General features: G+C 37.8%; 1 protein-coding gene across 9 annotated transcripts in view, besides 1 other annotated feature; it reads right to left on the bottom strand.

The window, feature by feature from the left end:
• RASAL2 (RAS protein activator like 2) overlaps nt 1-21,189 on the bottom strand; it is a 384,747-nt gene that overhangs the window by 182,785 nt on the left and 180,773 nt on the right. For all 9 annotated transcript variants that reach the window (NM_001437625.1, NM_001437626.1, NM_001437627.1 and 6 more), the window contains exon 2: nt 12,375-12,502. In NM_001437625.1, the coding sequence (NP_001424554.1) occupies nt 12,375-12,502 (128 nt within the window). The remainder of the gene's footprint in view (nt 1-12,374; nt 12,503-21,189) is intronic.
• Nucleotides 11,313-12,120: an enhancer, noted in NCBI's record as "NANOG-H3K27ac hESC enhancer chr1:178253081-178253888 (GRCh37/hg19 assembly coordinates)". NCBI's record gives its function as "activates a minimal SCP1, AML or CMV promoter by ChIP-STARR-seq in naive H9 embryonic stem cells {active_cell/tissue: H9 hESC(naive)}" and the evidence as "EXISTENCE:reporter gene assay evidence [ECO:0000049][PMID:30033119]".

The following is a 21,189-nucleotide window of genomic DNA, read 5'->3' as shown; positions in this document are numbered from 1 at the left end:
CACACACATATATATACACACACACATACACACATATTTTCTGTAAAACTGCCTTTCATATTGTTTAGAATCATATGGAAATTAATGTTGATTTCAATCTAAACTCATACAGATTAAACAGATAGTCAAGTACAGGAAATCAAGATTACGCTAACTAGCATCAGAAAGCTCTTCTTATTTCTTTTCCTAAAGAATGCTAAAAAGATGCTCAGGACTACTATATGCTTAAGAGGATTTTTCAGTACTTTAAAGAAAAAACAATTCCTCAACTTTCTTATTTCCTTAAGGCACTGGTTCTCAAAACAAGCGGTCTAGGTACCAGCAGCAACAGCATAACCCAGGAACTTATTAGAAAACCACATTCTCAGTCCCCACCCCAGACCTACTGCATCAGAAACTCAGGGTAGAGCTTGGCAATCTGTGTTTTAACAAGCCTCCGACTGATTCTGATGCTCACTAAGGTTGCGAACCACTGCCTTAAGGTGTTGTTTCCTCTCCTTCCTATCATGGATAAGCATCTCAAAGTGTCAGGTATAACAGACATTCTCAACCTTGGCTGCAACTTATAATCATCTATGGGAGCTTTAAAAAAAAAAAACCAATGCTGTTCTCACTCATAAACGGGAGCTGAACAATGAGAACACATGGACACAGAGAGGTGAACAACAGACACCAGGGCCTGCTGGGGGGTGAGGGGTGAGGAGAGGGAACTTAGAGGACAGGTCAATAGGTGCAGCAAACCACCATGGCACACGTGTACCTATGTAACAAACCTGAACATTCTGCACATGTACCCTGGTTTTTTTTTGTTTTTTTTTTTTTGGGAGAAAAAAAATGCCAACGCTTAGACCACTCTAGACATTCTAGACATGCAAAGTTGAGAACCACTGATCTATACTCTGTACCTCCAATTCTAATTATTCACTTATTAGTCCTTGGCTACCAGTACTAAGTGTGAAGATATAAATAAATCATTTGGCTTTAATAAACCTCAATTTCCACAACTTTGAGGTATCTTTCTGGTATCTCAGCTGGATTCCTGGAGTAGTCAGGTTTTAAACAGATTTCTCACTGGCAGTGTCAGATCTCTGTCATTGCTCAACATGACCACTAGTATCTCTATTCTGTTTTCAATATACTTCAGTTTCTCTCTGGAAAACTTACGTAGTCTTTCCCTGGACATGTGCAGTCCAGCTAAAGACTCTCTGGTATCCTACCCAGCAGGTTCCAGCCCTTTCAGATGCAAAATTCTGTTCTGTGCCTCCTCAGCTCAGTGAGTCTATTGTACTCTGGCAGGCCTGGCCTCCAGATTACAGCACCACAGTTGGAAAATAGTATGCAGCAGACACCTGGGCAATGGTGACCAACACAGTGGCTGCCTATTGTCCAATGCCTGAAAATAGTTGTGTTGCACACCCATGCTCTCTTTCGATTGATCGATAGATGGACAGACAGATAGACAGATAGTGAGGGGGTGGTGTCCTATTTTTTGTTGTTTACAGTGGGAGGGCCCATCTTGCACCAGTCATTCTGTCATAGCTGGTGCCAAAAGCCTCTATTTATCTCTTAATTAAACTCCTGCAACAGTTTCTTCACTGGTATCTGCCTGGGACGTTCTGCCCCTTAAACCTATCCTTTACATAGTTATCATAATAGTTCCAAAATGCAAATACGATCATGTCATCCTGAGGTTTAAAGCCCTTCAGCAGTTCTTTGCCTCTAGCAGTGGTTTTCAAAGAAGTGGTGGTGTGTTTGTGTATGGAAGTATGTGGGGGTGGGGGGAAGTATCTCTGCTTCAACCTGAACATCATTCTCAGTGTATCTGTTGTACAGGGCTTCTGCATAAGCCTTTCTACAAAGAAAGTGTCCTTCTGCTTAAAAAGGGTTTAAAAACTACTATCCTATAAATTAGTGCAAGCTCCCTAATATAGTACACCAGATTTTCCACAATCCAGCCACTGTCTCTGTCTGTGTGCTCAGTTTTAGACTTCATTCTAGAAATACCAAATTGCTTGCAATTCTTTAATACATTCCCTATTGTGTAGTTCAGTGCCATGGCTTAGTTTGTTCTCTCTTCCTGAAATGTTTTCCCTCTTTCTTTTCTATTCTACATCTGCAAGGTAAACTCCTAATCATCCTGAGGCTTAGGACAGGCTTTGCATTTCCCAGGAATCTTCCTCCTCTATCAGTCCCCTAAGGGAAGGTCAAGGTACACTTCCATTTAGTTCTCCGGTAACACATCTTTCTCTGTCATTATACTTACTGTGTTAAATTATAATTATTCATTTATGCAACTAATTCCACGTAAGTTAACAGCTTGTACTTTACCAGTAAATCCCCAAACCTTAAAATAGTTCACAAATAAGTGAATGATAGGTAGAGATGGGGGCCATTTTAGGCAAAGGAAAAAGCATAACATCAGCCAGGAAGCTGGTAAGTATATGACTTTTTTGTTTTGTTTTGGAATAGGGAGTAGGCCAATTTGGCTAGAGCCTCTTAATAGGGAGAAAAGGGATGGAACAATATATTATGAACATGTTAGGAGGGCTGGAATACCAGACCACGCATGGGGAGCACTGAGAAGCCACTCAAGCTTTTAGATCTAAGGACTGGCAGTCTCCTAATTGTTCTGTTTCCTGTGTCTTGTTCTTCCAATACGTCCTACAGATTAATATTTATAACACCTAACTTTGATCAAATTGCTTCTTTTATTAAGCTTTCCTTTGGTAATTCCCCATTGCCAGTGGCATCTTAATGACATATTTAGTTAGGCTAAGGTTCTTTTTATAATTAATGGATTTCTCTCTCTTATTCTATCCATTTACTTGTGTTATTTATCAAATGTCACTTTAAAATTGTCTTATTTTTACCACTAAATTTGTTACGGGGGAGAAAGAGGAAAGAAGATCTGTCTTGTGCTTTGTAACTCCTAACACAGTGAATAACATATAAGGGCATATTATATATCTATTGAATAATTTAAAAGTGGTTCTGAATGAAATATGCCATAGGTAGCTCACCCCAGAATAAATACCAGTTAATTTTTAGCTATTTGCACAAAGACTGATATTTTCATCAACATATCTGAGTGTAAACACTTTCAAAAGAAAAATGTTTTAAAACATTTAAAAGTGTCATTTTAAATGCCTTGCTGCCTATACACCAGAATCCAGCCTTAAACATTCTAAATATAGAAAGTAGAGTTTGCATTAAGAAAAATGGAGTCAAATGGACCCTGCCTAATAGACTGTTATTGCCAAAAGAAATAAACTCATAAATTCAGCTTTTGTATTTTTATAATGGCTGTACCTCTGAGGGGTTCATGTTTGTCTTCTCTACCATTTCCCTCAACTCCTTAATCTCAAATTTACTTGGTCTCATCTCTTGCAAGCAAAATGAAAGTCAAATGGCCTCCTGTGCCCTCTTTGAACTGGGCTGGTATCAAGCCAGTTGGGGCCTTTCCTGGTACCCAGGCAAGAAAGTATATTTCATAGCACATAAGCAATATCTATTTGGCACAATTTGCATGAAGCAGTTTACTGAACCAATAAGTCATTTGTCAAGGTGACACTCCCAGCAAGCTTCTCTTTCAGCATTCTGCCCCAATCTACCCTTCTGCCACATTCCCAGATTGGTCATTGGAATATTTAACACTCTTCCCATGTATACTCCTCAAACAGACTTTTCCCCAGTTCTGACAAGAAACATGTAGAGTTAAGAGAAAGCATTAAAAGATGCCACACACTGACTTAATACATGAGTGATACTAGACTAATATAATCCTCCCACATTCCAGCAGTGCCTGGCTAAGGATTCAGTTTAAATCCTTACAGAACCCTTTTAATTAATTTTTTAACACAGCAATAAACACCCCCATGATGATTTAATTAAAGTTTAAAACCATCTTTTTAGATAATTTTAGCAGGAAATTCCTTAAACTCATTTTAAGAAATTCTAAATTATTCAATGCAAAATTCCAAGGATTAAGAGTTAAATTCTTTATAATTCTTTTTTTTTTTTTTTTTTTTTTGAGACAAAGTCTTGCCCAGTCACCCAGGCTGGAGTGCAATGGTGCGATCTCAACTTACTGCAACCTCCACCTCCCGAGTTCAAAGGATTTCTCCTGCCTCAGCCTCCCGAGTAGCTGGGGTTACAGGCACCCGACACCATGTCCAGCTAATTTTTGTATTTTTCGTAGAGACAGGATTTCACCATATTGGTCAGGCTGGTCTCGAACTCCTGACCTCGTGATCCACCTGCCTCGGCCTCCAAAAGTGCTGGGATTCCAGGTGTGAGCCGCCGTGCCCGGCCCACATTCTTTATAATTCTTAAGTGTGGGTGAAAGGTAGAAGGGTGACAGCATATTCTGGTTCCTACACAAGAAATTGATTTATAATCTTTTCATGTAATGAAATTAACAGAAAATCAAACTTATTCAAGTAAAGCAATGTAAAGCAATGGCTTCACATTTTCTTTTCCTAGAGATTTAATTCAATTTTCCCCATATAATAATGGCAGAACATAAACACCTGTCTGAGGGCATTAAACTGTTTTTGTAAACTGTTTTGTAAATTTATCCCTTCATTATTCCTCACCTGGTCTACTGCAGCAATCTTGTAACTCATCTATTTGCTTCTAATCCCTTTCACTTCATTTTCCATATAATCCACAGAGTTACTTCTCTAAGAAGCAAATCTGATGATGTCATTACCTTGCTAAATACCCTTTCCCTGGTCCAGATCATTTCCGGAATAAAATCCAAATTCCTCATCATAGCCTTCAAGGTTCTTCATTACCTAGTTCTTGCTAGCTATCACTTTTCCTCTTGCAAACTATGTTCCATGAACTCTGAATATTTTTCAGTTTGCCAAAGAGACATATGTTTCTTGACTTTGTATCATTATATACACTCAGAATGTCCTTCCCTTCTTTTTCTCCTCATGAGCCCTTATTTGTCCCTTAAGATACAGTCCAAGCATAAATTTCTCTGTAAAACACTTTTTTGGCATTCTCCACTCCATACTATAATCCATCCTAGGCCATATCTCAGTTAATCTCTTATGGTTATATTACAATTAAAAACTAAACTTGGCTGGGTGTGGTGGCTCACACCTATAATCCCAGCACTTTGGGAGGCTGAGGCAGGCGGATCACGAGGTCAGGAGATCGAGACCATCCTGGCTAACACGATGAAACCCTGTCTCTACTAAAAATACAAAAAAATTAGCCGTGCGTGGTGGTGGGCGCCTGTAGTCCCAGCTACTTGGGAGGCTGAGGCAGGAGAATGGCGTGAACCCAGGAGGCGGAGCTTGCAGCGAGCCGAGATCGCACCACCGCACTTCAGCCTGGGTGACATAGCAAGACTCCATCTCAAAAACAAAAAACAAACAAAAAAATAAATAAAAATAAACTTACTGAAGCAAAATTTATATAACATAAAATTTACTATTTTAAAGTGAATAATTCATCAGCATTTAGTACATTCACAACGTTGTGCAACTACCACTGCTGTCTAATTCCAAATGGTTTTAACTTTATTTTACCTCTCAACAAAACTGCATCTTTGTGTCCACAATACTACAAATAATGATAGGTGCTCAATAAATAAAGATGGAATCATGTATTCAACTGTGGAAAAGCACCGCATCAATTATTTTTCTCTTTTTATTAGTTTTAGAAAAATAAAGAATTAAGTTACATGTTCTGGGTAGATATATCATGGAAAGAAAGGATAGAAGATATTTTCTATTCAACTTATATTAAGGAAATAGACATTCAGAAATAAAAGTTTTTAATTTGGCTTTTGCAACATTCATTCAACAAATATTTATTGAGAGTTTCCTATGTTTCATCAGGAACTGTTCTAAGAACTGGTGGATACATCCTTGAACAAAACAAACAAAATCTTTGCTCAAAAGCTTATATTCCAGTAGGAGATGAGAGACAGTAAACATAATAAATAAATTATATAGCATTTTAGCAGGTGGCAAATGCTATAAAAAATATATTAGAGCCAGGTAATTAGGTCAGAAGTTCTGGATACAGATGTGGGGAGCAGTAGTGATTTAAAATAGGTCAGGGTTGGCCTTACTAAGTATGTGGTATGTAAGCAAAGAGATGAAGGAGGTAAGAAAATGAGCCATGTAAATATAAGAGGGAAGAATGTTCCATGCAAAGAAAAAGCCAAGACCACGGCCTTAGGGAGGAACATGCCTGATGTACTCATGAAATAACGATGAAGACAGTATGTCTGGAAAGTAGCACGTTGGGGAAGCTTTTGGCCTTTGAAACTTGGAAGGATGGAGTTGTCATTAATGGAGATAACTTACCTATGGTAAGTCATGAAGTGAAGATTAGGGCTGAAGTGTGGGGCATGTTGAAAATGACTCTTACATATCCAAGTGGAGATGTGTAATGCACAGATGGATATATGAGTCTAGAGAAGAGAGATGGCCTGGTGCAGTGGCTCATGCCTGTAATCCCAGCACTTTGGGAGGCTGAGGTGGAAGGATCACTTGAGCCCAAGAGTTACAGACCAGTTTGGGCAACATAGTGAGACTCCATCTTTTGAAGAGAGAGAGAACAGTGATATGTAGTTTTAAGATATAAAATAAGGAATCATCAGCATTAGAGGACATTTATAGTCTCAAGACTATAAATGAGATGAGATCCCTAAGGAAATAAGGTCCCATGGCGCTTCCATGTTAAGATTTGAAGAGAAGAAGAGAAATCTGTAAAGATGACTCAAAAGAAACTTCCAGAGAGGCAGGAAAGAAAAAGAACACAGTGTCATGGAAGCCAAATAGGAAAAGTGACCTTAGGAGAAGAAATGAGTGATCAACTCTACTAAATGCCATTAACAGATTAAGATGAGAACTGAGAACTGACCACTGAATTTAACAATGGGAAGGTCACTAGTGAGCTTAACAAGCACAATTCTGGCAGTGATGTGGGTAAGAGTCTGGCTGAAATAGATTTAAAGGAGAACAGGAATTAAAGACAATGAGCATAGAAGTTTTGAGAATTTGTGTTATAAAGGAGAGAAGAGAAAGGGGTGGTATCTGGAGGTACAAGTGAGGTTAATACAGGCTTTGTTTTTTTCAGATGAGAAAAAAAGCTGGGCTCAGTGGCTCACACCTGTAATCCCAGCACTTTGGGAGGCCGAGGCGGGTGGATCACCTGAGGTGAGGAGTTCGAGTCCAGCCTGGCCAACATGGTGAAACCCCATCTCTACTAAAAATACAAAAATTAGCTGGGCATGGTGGCGCATGCCTGTAATTCCAGCTACTCAGGAGGCTAAGGCAGGAGAATCGCTTGAACCCAGGAGGCGGAGATTGCAGTGAGCTGAGATTGCACCATTGCACTCCAGCCTGGGTGACAGAGTGAAAGTCTGTCTCAAAAAAAAAAAAAAAAAAAAAAAAAAGAGAGAGAAAGAATAGCATGCTGATGGGAATGATCTGATAGAAAGCAAAAAACTAAAATGTTTTTCAAAAATGGTAGGGGAGAATTGCTAGTGATATATCCTTGAACAGGCAAGAAATAATGGAATGAACACAAGCAGAAGGGCTGACCACAGTGGACAGCTCAATCACAGTTAAAAAAGTAAAATAAGGGTAGAAGGAAACAGTTGCTGTTAGGCAGATACAGTAATGGAGTGTGCAGAAGTTCTCTTGTGAATTTTCCAATTTTCTCAGTGAAGTAATAAGCAAAGTAATCAGCTCTAGGTGGGAATAATAAAGAAGAGATTGGCAGTTTGAGGAAACAGGAGAAGGTATGAAAAACATCTTCTTAGAAATTATTCTGGACTGTGTTACTCAAAGTGTAGTTCAAGCTCCTGTGCTATCTGCAAATTGTGACTAGTCCACAATAAACAAAATAGTACAGAAACCGAGAAGCAGCATGCTTGGTGTGATCAGTGGGTTTGTACAGCCTACTTTCCATGAATATATACAATTTTTATCCTTCTATTCCTTCTTTTCCTATGTTATGATTATGCTGAACATACTTAACTGAATTGTGATTTAATGTCTGTTAAACCCAATAAAAATTTGGTCTTATATATTTTTTAAATTTTTAATTATTATTTCAATAGGTTTTTGGGGGAATGGGTGGTGTTTGGTTACATGGATAAGTTTTTTAGTGGTGATTTCTGAGATTTTGGTTCACTCATTATCTGAGCAGTGTGCATGGTACCCAATATGCAGTCTTTTATCCCTCACTTCTCTCCCACCCTTTCCCCTGAGTCCCCAAAGTCCATTGTTATCATTCTTATTCCTTTGCATCCTCATAGCTCAGCTCCCACTTATGAGTGAGGACATACTCCATTCCTGAGTTACTTCATAGAATAATGGTCTCCAGTTTCTTCCAGTTTGCTTCAAATGCTATTATTTCATTCCTTTTTATGGCTGAGTAGTATTCCACAGTATATACATACACCATATTTTCTTTATCCACCCCTTGATTGATGGGCATTTGGGCTGGTTCCGTATTTTTGCAATTGCGAATTGTGCTGCTGTAAACATGTGTGCTGTAAACATGTATATCCTTGTTATATAACGACTTATTTTCCTCTGGGTAGATAGCCAGGAGTAGGATTATATTTTTACTTTTTTTTTTCATTTTTTTCTTAACAATCCACTTTATTGTATTTTATTGATCACAACAAGGTGGGTGGAGAGGAAACTGGTACTTTACCACAGATAGAATGTGAAGCACTAGTCCAGGAGAGTGGGACAGTAACTGAAGTGGGAAAATGTTTTGTGATTGCCAAGCAGCATTATGGGCTGATATGAGGTTTGCAGCCATTTGTTTAACACCAGGCAGCATGGTATGTGTAATTTTCTCCAGATACATTAAGCTGCATAGATACTGGGCAGACTAGATAAAGAGTAAGATTCACTTCAGCTATCACTTTGCCAAGTGTGTATGATGAAGCAAGGGAAGGGCAAGGAAACAGTATGCAAAGGAGTGATGAGAATGACTGACCATGGAACTCAGGGGAGAGAGAGGACATCAGAGGCTTTATAAAAGCCAGAAAAGGTGACAGGATCAATGGGTCCTAGGTCTCAGAAGGGTTGAAGGATTGCTGAAATAAGAAATGAGCTAGAAAGATAGAAGGTATTAGTCAAAGAGTAATATGCACACAATTGTGAATATGAAGGAGTTGTAGCAATAAGGTGGGATCCTTAGAGAGGAAAAAGTTCAAGGAACTGACAGCTAGTGTGTTACAAAAGAAAAATCTCTCTATGGATATCAGAATCGTAAAAAATTAAAACTGGAGTAGTCTTGGAGATAATAATGGCCCAGGGGATAGAATCAACAAAAAACGACGAGGAAGGTTAGAAGATGACTACAGGCCGGGCACGGTGGCCCACGCCTATAATCCCAGCACTTTGGGAGGCTGAGGCGGGTGGATCACCTGAGGTCAGGAGTTCGAGACCAGCCTGGCCAACATTGTGAAACCACATCTCTACTAAAAATACAAAAAATTAGCTGGGCATGGTGACAGATGCCTGTAATCCCAGCTACTCGGGAGGCTGAGGCAGGAGAATCACTTGAACTCAGGAGGCGGAGGTTGCAGTGAGCCGAGATGGCACCATTGCACTCCAGCTTGAGAAACAAGAGAGAGACTCCATCTCAAAAAAAAAGAAGATAACTATAATGTGAGACTCAAAGTTTGGACATTTTAGGGAAAACAGGGGAGAATAGACAGCAGCCATGAAAGAGGAAGACAGCTATCACAGACATTATGGTATGAGGAAAAACGGCCATCCACTGACAAAACTTAATGGAAGATAGTGTCTTCAGGGAAGATCTCAGTTCTTGTAAGACTAAGAAGTTAAGGGACCCCTTCAGAGAAAAGGTGGAAGAAACAGCTGGTTTTGCTGATGATGAACCTGGAATTGCAGTGGACACAGTGAAAGGGTTTCAAGAGGTGGAGAAGGACAAGTGGAAGACAGTGTCAGAAAAGAGAATACACAGAGCCATAGGGAGAGTACATACAGCGTGGTGGATGAGGGTTACCCAGGTGTTTAGGGTTACTCATGATGACTGGTATAAAAAGGGATAAAGGACATAAGATGTTGTTTTAGAAAATTATTTATCATGGACAGTTATATTATGAGACAAAAGGTGGCCCAAGCGCAGGTAACTCAATTGACTAATTTGCACCTTGGTTCTGGAAAAGGCATGCTTCCTGACTTTCTGCTATCTATACTTAAAGCTATTTCATCTCTTACAGTACTAAATTGAATAAAATGTAGGTAAGGGCAAAAAGATGGCAAATGATTTGTTTATATTACTCCTTACTAATAGCTCTGAGAAAAGACTGCTGACAGTACATTTGGTTAAAATGAAGATTTTGAATAGTTTGGATAATTAGAAATGTTCTATACTAATATTCACTTTACCAATTTTTATTATCTACTTAATATAAACACAGCAACATACACAACTTGTTCTAGAAAAGTCTGGCCTTTATTCAGTTATTTTAATAAAATTAAATTTAAGAATATTAAAATGCTGGAAAAGGGTTACAGGTAGGGAGATGATAACAAAAGTAAAAGATATTTTCAATGGCAAGAGAAAAAGAATGAGCAAGTTCTTCATGGAGGCATATTAACAAGCCTCTTGGAAGTAGCAATGCCGGCCGGGCGCGGTGGCTCATGCCTGTAATCCCAGCACTTTGGGAGGCCGAGGCGGGTGGATCATGAGGTCAGGAGATCGAGACCATCCTGGCTAACAAGGTGAAACCCCGTCTCTACTAAAAATACAAAAAATTAGCCGGGCGCGGTGGCGGGCGCCTGTAGTCCCAGCTACTCGGGAGGCTGAGGCAGGAGAATGGCGTGAACCCGGGAAGCGGAGCTTGCAGTGAGCCGAGATTGTGCCACTGCAGTCCACAGTCCGGCCTGGGTGACAGAGCGAGACTCCGTCTCAAAAAAAAAAAAAAAAAAAAAAAAAAAAGAAAGTAGCAATGCCTATTAAAATACAAGAAGAAACTGGAATTGTTTTATTGGTAGTATTGTTACCACATTAAAAAATGCTGAGAAAGAGAAGGGATAGGTAAGAGAAGGAACAGGGAAGGAAGGAGGAGCAAGAGAAGAGAAAGGGGAGGTAGGGATCCACAGAGGAGAATTAAGAAATGTGTTTCCTGTTGCTTCTTTTGAACTCACCTTTCTGGAAGGTGACTTACTGAATGGATATTCTACCTACATCTTTCTAGTTATTTATATAGTTTTGGCAATTAATCTTTCTCCTTCATTGAATCATATCTTCTCCTTCCCTTTCATTATTCCTCTTCTTTGTCAATATTATATTCACTTATTTTTTTATATGGTGGAAATTGGGAATTATGATGATTTTACAGAGTAGTTTTATCATACCAGATCAGAATATCAATTACCTGATTAATCACCAATAAGCAAATAAATGAGATAGCTGTGGAAGGATTTGTAAACTGTAACAGTTTGAGGAATAAAATAGTAATAGCATGTGATAAGTTTAAGAGTTTTTTAATTTAGAAGAACAGAAAGTACACCTAGAACTAGATGCCTGTCCTGGTTACATTCTGTCTACCTCGCCAGATCTATTCTACTCTCTGCCCTTCTTGACCTTGTTACATGTTTCAGGAAGCTGACCTCTACAGAATACATCAAAAAGCAATCTTTTTCTGCCTTCGAGTTAGATTTGGCCAGTAGGTGACACTGGCAAGAAATCAGAAGGCAGAAGAAAAGAGTTGGAGTGTTTATTCTGTCTTACTTCCTCCCTGCTGGCCATTTTTGTTTGGTATAGAGACTGTGTTCTTTTGTGCATAACCACAGCAACTGTCAAGCAGCATTCTCATGCAGCTACAGTTCTCTAGGTTCCAGAAACATCACTTTCTTCCCTTGCCTTGGAAGCCCAGGGTGATAACTGCTTTCTGCGACTGCTAGCTCGTGGGTGCTTCCTCATCCTTAGTTAGGTCCTTTATGCTGCCCACACATCTGCAAATAGTCCCTCCAATAAACCTCTTTCAATTAATCCAATTAATGACATTTGTTTTTGCTAGGAAGTACTGATGTAATTCCCAATGGCCCCTCGAGATCATTTGCAGGGCCAGGCCTATATAATCCAACCCCTTCCCATTCCAAACTCCTCAGTTTAACTCAGTATCTCTTCCATTGTTTCTTAGTGAAAATCCAGCCCTATCTTGTGAAACCCACTCCTTCATGAAGATAACATATCTTTATGACATTAGCAGCCTTTTAGACTTACCTATATCTTCATCAAGCCTTTATTTTTATAATCCAACTTTTCAAAATGCAAACAAAAACTAGGTAATTTCAGGAATTTACTCAGAAAAGGAAACTAACTTTCCTGAATAATATCCATCTCACCTCCTTCTCCTTGTTGAGCAATACCAACTGGCTGTCTGTGAGGATGCAATACTTCCGCTCCCACGTTGTTGTCTCGGTGTAGGGTGACTGACCACAAGACAGACGGTGGGTGGGTGGTCCTTTCACATCTGCATGAGAAAAGGGAAAAACAAAAGTGACAAATCATTATCTTGCTTAGTAAACCAGTATTTCAAATGTAAAATTCTTCCAAATCAAATAAAGAGGTGAGCCTAAACACGAATCTCAATGGTAAATTTAAAGCTTCCTCTTAAGAAAATGAAAACTATTATATACAGAATAAGGAAAAAATAGCCCTATGACCTTCAGAGAAGAGGGCTGAAACACTCTGGGAAGAACTGTTAGTGCAAACTTTACATAGTAATTACCACTGTATATAAACTATAATAATGAGAGGTTGCTTCAGAGCTTAACCAGTATCGTTTAAAATACAGAAGCAGAGTGACTCAGACACCTTCCCTAGTCTTTAGGAGAAAGATGATGTTACATGTACACTTTGAGAACACTGTTAACCCAGAACTCTGAGAGTAAATGTATCAGCAGACTAGGCCTTCCAAATGGCTTTACACTCACAGGAATTGACAATGTTTAAACAACAGCATCGTATTACCACTAGAGGCCAGCAAGATCTTAAAAACATGGAAAATAATTTTCTTAAGAAAATATCTAAATATATTACCATGATGTTTCTTAAAGGTGGAGGTACCCGATATTAAAGCAAAATGTCTCAGCAATTCCCAACTGTCTCATTTCCTTATAAAATACCAAGTGGTTACTAACATCTCTGTCATTTTCAATTTTTTTGATATAAAATGTTTACTCATTTGGGCTGCTGGAACTGGGCACATATTTTAATTTATAAGTACACATTAGCTCCATTAAGTAAAGCTTTTATGACAGTTCGATATATATTAAAAGTTCTTCAGGCATGAGGAACTAATTCTTCTCAGGAATATACTATAGAGACTACTTAACATGCATTATCATTACTTAGTTATTATGCTAAAGTAAAAACTCAAATTGAAAAGATTAGAAAACCAATACCCATGAGGGCAGGGGAGTTGTAAATCATAAAAAAGTACATTATATCTATTATATGAGTATTTTTCATTATCACTGCTTTCTGTAAAATTTTTGTCTTTTGTCACAGGATGATAGGTATATTACTGGCACTGGCTTGACTTCAAGGAAAGGCAAATAATTTCCTAGGTGTCTTACATTATAATTAACCAAATATGCATAATTATAGCTGGAGTTCTGTAGAACGTTAGCAACAAGTCAGTTGCTATATGTCTCTCTTCATAGAACTACGTAGGTCTCTGTTTATAAATCCCTTTATGTGTTCAATATTGTCTTCATTGTTTCTTCTGGTTTAACTTCCTGTCCTCTCTAAGGCTATCTAAACTGCGCTGCATGTTTGGGGGTTTATCAACTCCCCCCAAAGATAATTCAAGGTCCAAGAACCAACAGTGTTATTAGGGCTTGGTTAGACATGTTACTAATTCTTAGAAGTTCACTGTTTTGTCTTTTCTTCCCTTATTTTCTGTTTGTATCTCCTCCGCACTATGCACAGCATTACATGCTACATCTGTAGCATCTCCAATCTACACCAACCCTCTCTCCCCTACCCTCAACCCTCCCCTTGTAGTCTAAGCATCTTAAATTATTTTATGTTAGAACTGCATCTTTAGTTCTTCCAAAGTTTTCTTCTGACTTCAAAATCTCAAAATTATCACAAAAAAGCTCTAATGAAACTGACTCTTAATCCTTTTGTACATATATAGGATATTCTTGCCTACATTTAAAAGCCATGTCAAAACCAATTTTCTTCACATGATTTGGACAAAAATATGGGTTACAATTTTACCACACGTAGGCCTATTTTTAGAGTCAAATACCAAGACGACTTCAACAGAAAAAGATGCATCTACTTTATGTAGAAATATGAATAGTTTTGTGGTCTAAACAATTAGAAACTTTGACAAAATTAGACAATTTATGGTCATTCAAATAACTAGCTTTATTATATAAGTTAGCCATGGGTGACCTAAACTGCGTACTGTAAGCTTTACTGTAAATTAACTTTAGCAAGAAAACACTGATAAACCCTGTCCATAAAAATTTTAATACAGGATATTGATTAATAGCACAACCCAGGTTTCCTGACAAAATATAAATCTGTATCAACACTGAATTTAAGAAAATCTAAATTCTCTTTTCTGTGAGATCCTAATAAATTCTCTTAAAGCCTCACTGTCTAATATTCTCCCTTTGTCCAACCTAATCCTTTTCCTAATTTCTTCATGGTATTGTGAAAACAAGACAATGTCTCAAAAAAACATTCTGGAACCCCGAACCATCCCCCTCTAGTGCTAAAGATAAGAAGAAATAGAGAACAATGAAATAGAGAGCAATGCTTCTATATTAAAAAAAAATTATGTCTGTCTAAACAGAGGGATTTATTAGCCATCCTATAGATTTTACAGCTTCTTTTTCTAATGCCCATTTTTGGTCATTTTATGAGAATGTATACCAAGGGGGGAAAAAAAACAAGAAAAAAAGTGATAGTTTCTGTTCTTTTTAGCACTTCTCTATTATCTAAAAGGCATTTTAAGTAATAAAATTATGTTTTTTAAAATAACCTATATTTAACTTATATAGGTTATGTTATATCATGTTCTCATTTCCAGGGCTAAATGAAGGTTTAAAAGCAAGTAAGCAAGGCCTGTATACTGAGACTATACACGTTACCAGGACAAGCTCAGATTTTTGTCCCATTTCACCTTGCCAATCCTATCTTATTTTTTGCTCTAGTGACTTACTTTTAATTTCTGACTTCCAATTATTTTTAGTATCTAAAATTCACTAGAGAAAAGAATAACTAACTTAGAATCACACAGAAGAATCTTAATAGCAAAACTGAAAACAATTTTGGATTTGCTCTGTCCATTCCTAGGAGGATACTAAGGACAATGAATGCTGGCCTCATTACAAAAATTAAATTTTAGAAACATTAAAAAGAATCAGAGGTAAGTCAATGGATCTCTTTGTAAATACTTCTTTAAAACTGTATTATTCTGTAGACCAGCAATTCTCCACTTTCTTGACTGCAGGACTCCTTTAGGCTTTAAAATTACTGAGGACTTCAGTATATGGGTTATATCAATATGGGTTTATATGGGTTATATCAATATTTACCATGTTAGAAATTAAAACTGAGAAATTTAAAAAATATGAATTCATTTAACAATAACACTCCTACTGCATGTTAACATAGGTAACACATTTTTAATGAAATGTAACTGTTTTCAAAAAAAATTAAAAGAGCGACTCTTTTATATTTTTGCAAATCTCTTTAAAGTCTGGCTGAATAGAAGACAGCAAGGTTTTTATATCTGTTTCTACATTCAATCTATTGCTTTGTGTTCTTCTGGTTGATATACACAAAGAAAATCTGGACTCACAAATATGTAGTTGGAAAAGGAAAGAGTGGTTTAATAATATTTTCAAATAACTATGAATATTCTTCGTTAATACTATACCAAACCTGACAAGCAGTTGCTTTTCAAAAGTTAGTATACAATGTGTAATCTGAAACCAAATCAATGAACTTTTCGTATTCTGTTACATCAAAAACCACTGGTCCACCTTGTCCTTTGAGTGCATCTTTCACCCCATGTATGTGAGTTTATAAACATCATGCACCGATCAGTTAAAAAATATTGGTTCATTCAGATTTGCAGATATTCCAAATATTGACACCTTTCATTATATAATATCAAAAAAGTCACATTCATCAATCTTCAGAAAAGTTTTGATCTCATCAGAAAAGACTTCAAGTACTACTGGGAAGCTGCCAAGCTCAAAGTTGCAGATGCAAATTTTCTAACATTCTAATTTTTGCTTTTAGTCTTAAATTTTATCATTAGCAATAAATACTCTTGGTTGTTTCCCTGAAGTGATAAGTTTATGTCTTCCTTTTTTCAGAAAATGTCTGCCATATAACCAAGACTGAATAACCATAATTAGTCTTATAGTTCTACTATAAAAAATAGTTTTAAACTATCAGATCGGGGGGGTCCTGGAGATCTAGCATTCCACAGACCACATGCTAAAAACCACTGCTTAGAAAACAGAAAGTCAATGAGGTATTCTAAGAAAATATGGCAATACTAGTTTGTAACAAGATGAAGAAAGTGGGGGAAAGACCAGAGGTCTTAACAATGTATGGGAGACTGATGTAATGGCCTGGTTTAGGGATGGTCAGGGTCTGAAACAGATCAGTTATAGTGAAAATGGTAACAAACAGACCATGTGAGCCAGATTTTGAAATAGGAATCAACAGGACAGGTAACTTTCTAGTTGTTTGTGGTGGATGAATAACACAAAAGAGATGAGAGAATAAAAGAGTCACTAATAAAAATACAAATTGATAAAAGTTAATAAAGCAGGTTATGTAACTATAATATATAACAGGAAGTCCAATATAGATGGTTTTCAAAAAAGGAAGAAAGATAACCTAAAAGGGAAGCTTATTTGAAGTATTCAATGCAATCTATTATTTCCAAATAATTTCAAAACAGCATTCAAAATACTAAGTCATTTGGCCTGCCACTAAGTCTAAAAAGCAAACTTTGGGCTCCTTCAAATGCTAATATAAATTCAGTAACTGCAAATGCTAATATAAATTTAGAAACTACTTGGCAAGGAAACAACAACAATAACAATAGATCTCTCATGTGTTAACCCTTCCTTGTAATGGGAGAAAGGAGCATCATAGCATGATATATTACTTGACAAAAATGACAAACTGAATGATATGATAGAGCTGGAAATTTCAGTATAGGAACACACACACAGACACACTCCAACTTTTTTCTTAGAGGATAAGCAACTTATCTCTTCCATACTTAGGAAAAGTGCCTCAAAAATTTTATAGCAGGAGAGTAATTAAAGGGATCTGATAGAAAGCAGAAATAGGGATAAGGGAGAAAGGACAATAAGTCTATGGCCAAAATATGAAGAATGGGTAAGAAAAAATTGCTGTGAGAAATTTTATTTTTGTATCTTACGGCTCCTTAGAAGTTCATCTGAGTTGCTTTTGAATCACATCATTTACTAGTCTCATGTTTTTAAAAATTCTGACATGATATGTTAAATGCAATTGGTAAAATCATGAACCTATTGAGAGGAGAAAGAAGAAACTGGTCAGGCAGGCAGCTAGGGTGGGGCCTCAGTTGAATCCTTTCAAACAAAAGCCTGATTTTTCAGGCTATAGGCACAAATAAGGGAACTTAGACAAGGAAGCTTGCCTAAGACATGCTCACAGCCACACAGATAAGACAGGTTACAGAGATGACTTGCCCAGACATGGCCACAATGGAAAATTCCATCCCCTAACACATGTGCAGTAAGGGGAACAAAGCATTATGGAGTAACTCAAGCTAAGGGCCCACATGTACACTAGCAGGACGGGGTGGAGGTACCAGAAATTCACACCTTATGTAAATGAGACGCCCAGCCCTCATCAGTTTCGTATAAAAGCCTTTGCATTGAACTGTAAAAATGGCAACCCTCTTCTGGGCCCCCTCTCTGCGGCAGACAGCTTTCATTCTTTTGCTTATTAAACTTTTGCTCCAACCTCACCCTTTGTGACCATGCTCCTTAATTCTCTTGGTCATGAGACAAACAACTCTGGGTGATGTCTCACAATAACAGACACTACACTGTGTTGCATTGGTGAGACTGTAACACTATTAATATTTACTGCCTTCCAGAGAAAGCTTTATAAAGGGATTCTACAGAGAGAATCTTCCCAGTTAATACAAACTCTAATGTTTCATTCAGTCTCAGGGGCCTTTCATCTATCTTAGTGCCAACCTAAAAAAAGAAATAACAACAGCATAGTTTTGGGAAATCTATCTGAATAGGGAAGGTCTTAATACACTAAAAGAGAAACATATTCCCAACAGATAATTGGTGTAAACTGCAGAAGTCTGAACTGTTGTGGAAGGATAGATCTGTATTTTCCTGTATCTATACATACATTTTCATTTCCACACCACAGCTAACCTGGCTTAGAAATGGCAAATTCTTCGCAACTCTGAAATTTCAATGACCAGATTTGTTTTGGCTTTGAACCCAAAGTCAAAAAGTATTACTTCATAAAAGCTAAGAATTAAAGTGATCACTTTATTACAGAAGCAAAAACATCTGGCCAGGAACGGTGGCTCACGCCTATAATCCCAGCACTTTGGGAGGCCAAGGTGGGTGGATCACTTGAACTCAGAAGTTTGAGGCTAGCCTGGTCAACACAGTGAGACCTCATCTCTACAAAAAATACAAAAATCAGCCAGGCATGGTGGTGCGTGCCTGTAGTCCCAGCTACTTGGGAAGCTGAGGTGGGAGGATTGCATTTTTTCTTTTCATCAACATGTTCACAACAGTTTTAACAGGCATTCATGTTTAATATCATATTAATAGGCCAATTAACAAGTTTTTGGTTTTTTTTTTTTTTTTTTTTTTTGAGAGGGAATCTCACTCTGTCGCCCAGGCTGGAGTGCAGTGGCGCGATCTCAGCTCACGGCAAGCTCTGCCTCGCAGGTTCACGCCATTCTCCTGCCTCAGCCTCCCGAGTAGCTGAGACTACAGGCGACCGCCACCACACCTGGCTAATTTTTTCTATTTTTAGTAGAGATGGGGTTTTACCGTGTTAGCCAGGATGATCTAAATCTCCTGACCTTGTGATCCGCCAGCCTCGGCCTCCCAAAGTGCTGGGATTACAGGCATGAGCCACTGTGCCCGGCCAACAAGCTATTTTTTAAAAGGCAGTTCTTTATTTTTTTAATAAACAATAAAATCCTTGCCCCTGACATGCAGATTTAAAAATATGGCATACACATGGCTATCTTCTATAGACAATTTCTGATATAATAGAAGAAATAATGTTAGAGTTGTTACGTGGAGATGATTCTTAACAATGTCAATAACTGTAACAGGCTGGGCACAGTGGCTCATGCCTGTAACCCCAGCAGTTTGGGAGGCTAAGGCAGGAGGATCACTTGAGCCCAGGAAGTCAAGGCTGCAGTGGGCCATGATCACACCACTGTACTCTGCCTGGGCAACAGAATAACACCTTGTCTCAAAAAAAAAAACAAAAAAATTGTAATGTGGTTGAGGAGTAGTCCACAATATACTGCAGATTTATGCTCAAATTATTTTATAAATGTATTAATGTTGTCTGCTTAAGACCTAGTGTAGTTCCCATCAACTAAGTCACTCTCTTTCATTCTTAAAGTACAAAAGGAAAGGAAAATCCAGTCAGGTCACTTAAAGTAAAGTTTAATTTTACTTATTTTATCCCTTCATTACCTTCCCACCCTCTATATTCTGTCAAAATGTCAGAAAATAACATTTCCAGAACAACAAACAAAAATTTTCTTAGACTGATAACCACCCAACACACAGTACCTGTGAACTTTGCTTTGTCCTGACACACAATGAACATTTGGGCTGGCAAATTATATTATAGTTCATACAAATAAATGGCCTCAGTGGATTTAAATATGGCCACCCTCGTACCTTGATGAGTAATATGGATACTAAGTAATCATTCAATATGTTTAAGATATAGTCATTAGGTCAGAAATGGTTGCCTTCATGGAAATACAAGTCTTAATCCTTACATTACCATAAATTTACTATGAGACCACAACTATTTGCCGAAATAAATTTATATTGTGTCTTTTAACCTTAGCTAACCACTTTAGTTTCCTTGTCAACTACAAAGGCTTAATTTCCGACCTACTTGATCACTGGTGTCTAGTTAGTAAATCCACTATGCTCATTATCACCCTTGTTAAGAGAAGGAGAGAGCAGGAAAGAGATAACATGTGATACTTCTCTCTGGTGAGTAATTTCCTTTAGTCTAACATTTGCAGAGTTCTGCTGCTGCTTCCCTCTCAGTCTCAGCTGCATCACAGTTCAGCATGAATGTTCTAACTCTGCTCTATCACAGGTCAGAGTGAGTTATCTGGTAAAAAAGTAATAAATTCCTTGAAGGCATGACTTATTTATGGCAGACAACTTGATATTTGATAAAGGTAACACTTCTCTATAGAAGAGCTCATTTTAGTTTGGTGCCATTACTTATTTTAAGAAGATGGTAAGGATGGGGAACAATTCCTATGATAGTTCTACCTTGCTTCTCCCTTCCACATCACTACAACAGTTTGCACTGTCCTGATCACATGTGCCGTGAAATGCAAACAAAGCAGATCATATAGTTTTCTTCCACTTCTTAAATATGCACTTGAAGAAATAAGTCCTGCTGGGATATCAGGGCATGCCTCTATAGTCCCAGCTACTTGGGAGCTGAGATCACTTGAGCTCAGAAGATCAAAGCTGTAGGGTGCATGACTGTGCTCTCAATAGCCACTGCATTCAAACCGGGGCAACACAGCACAACCCAGTCTCTTAAAAGAGGTAAGTCCCTTAATTTCCACATTAAGCCAAGTCTGCTTAAGCAACTATGTGGCCTAGTTAACTGAATGGAGTCTTATGAATGGTGCCAGCAGTAAGATGAGAAATGGCAGTCCATCACAGCCTGTTCTTCAATCCCAATAGATCAGTCATAATCTACAGTTCATACTAAACCTCTTAAACAGAAAAATATAAAATATTCAAAATAAAATAGGTCACTTATATACTAATCCTTTGAAGGAAATAAAAGCCTATCTACAATTTTTTCTTAAATAAATATTGTGCTAATTTAAGAAAAGTGTAGCCAAGCACGGTG

This window comes from Homo sapiens, chromosome 1 (assembly GCF_000001405.40).
Source record: "Homo sapiens chromosome 1, GRCh38.p14 Primary Assembly".
Classification (NCBI taxonomy): Eukaryota; Metazoa; Chordata; class Mammalia; order Primates; family Hominidae; genus Homo; species Homo sapiens.
This window is presented reverse-complemented; position numbering and strand designations above follow the sequence as displayed.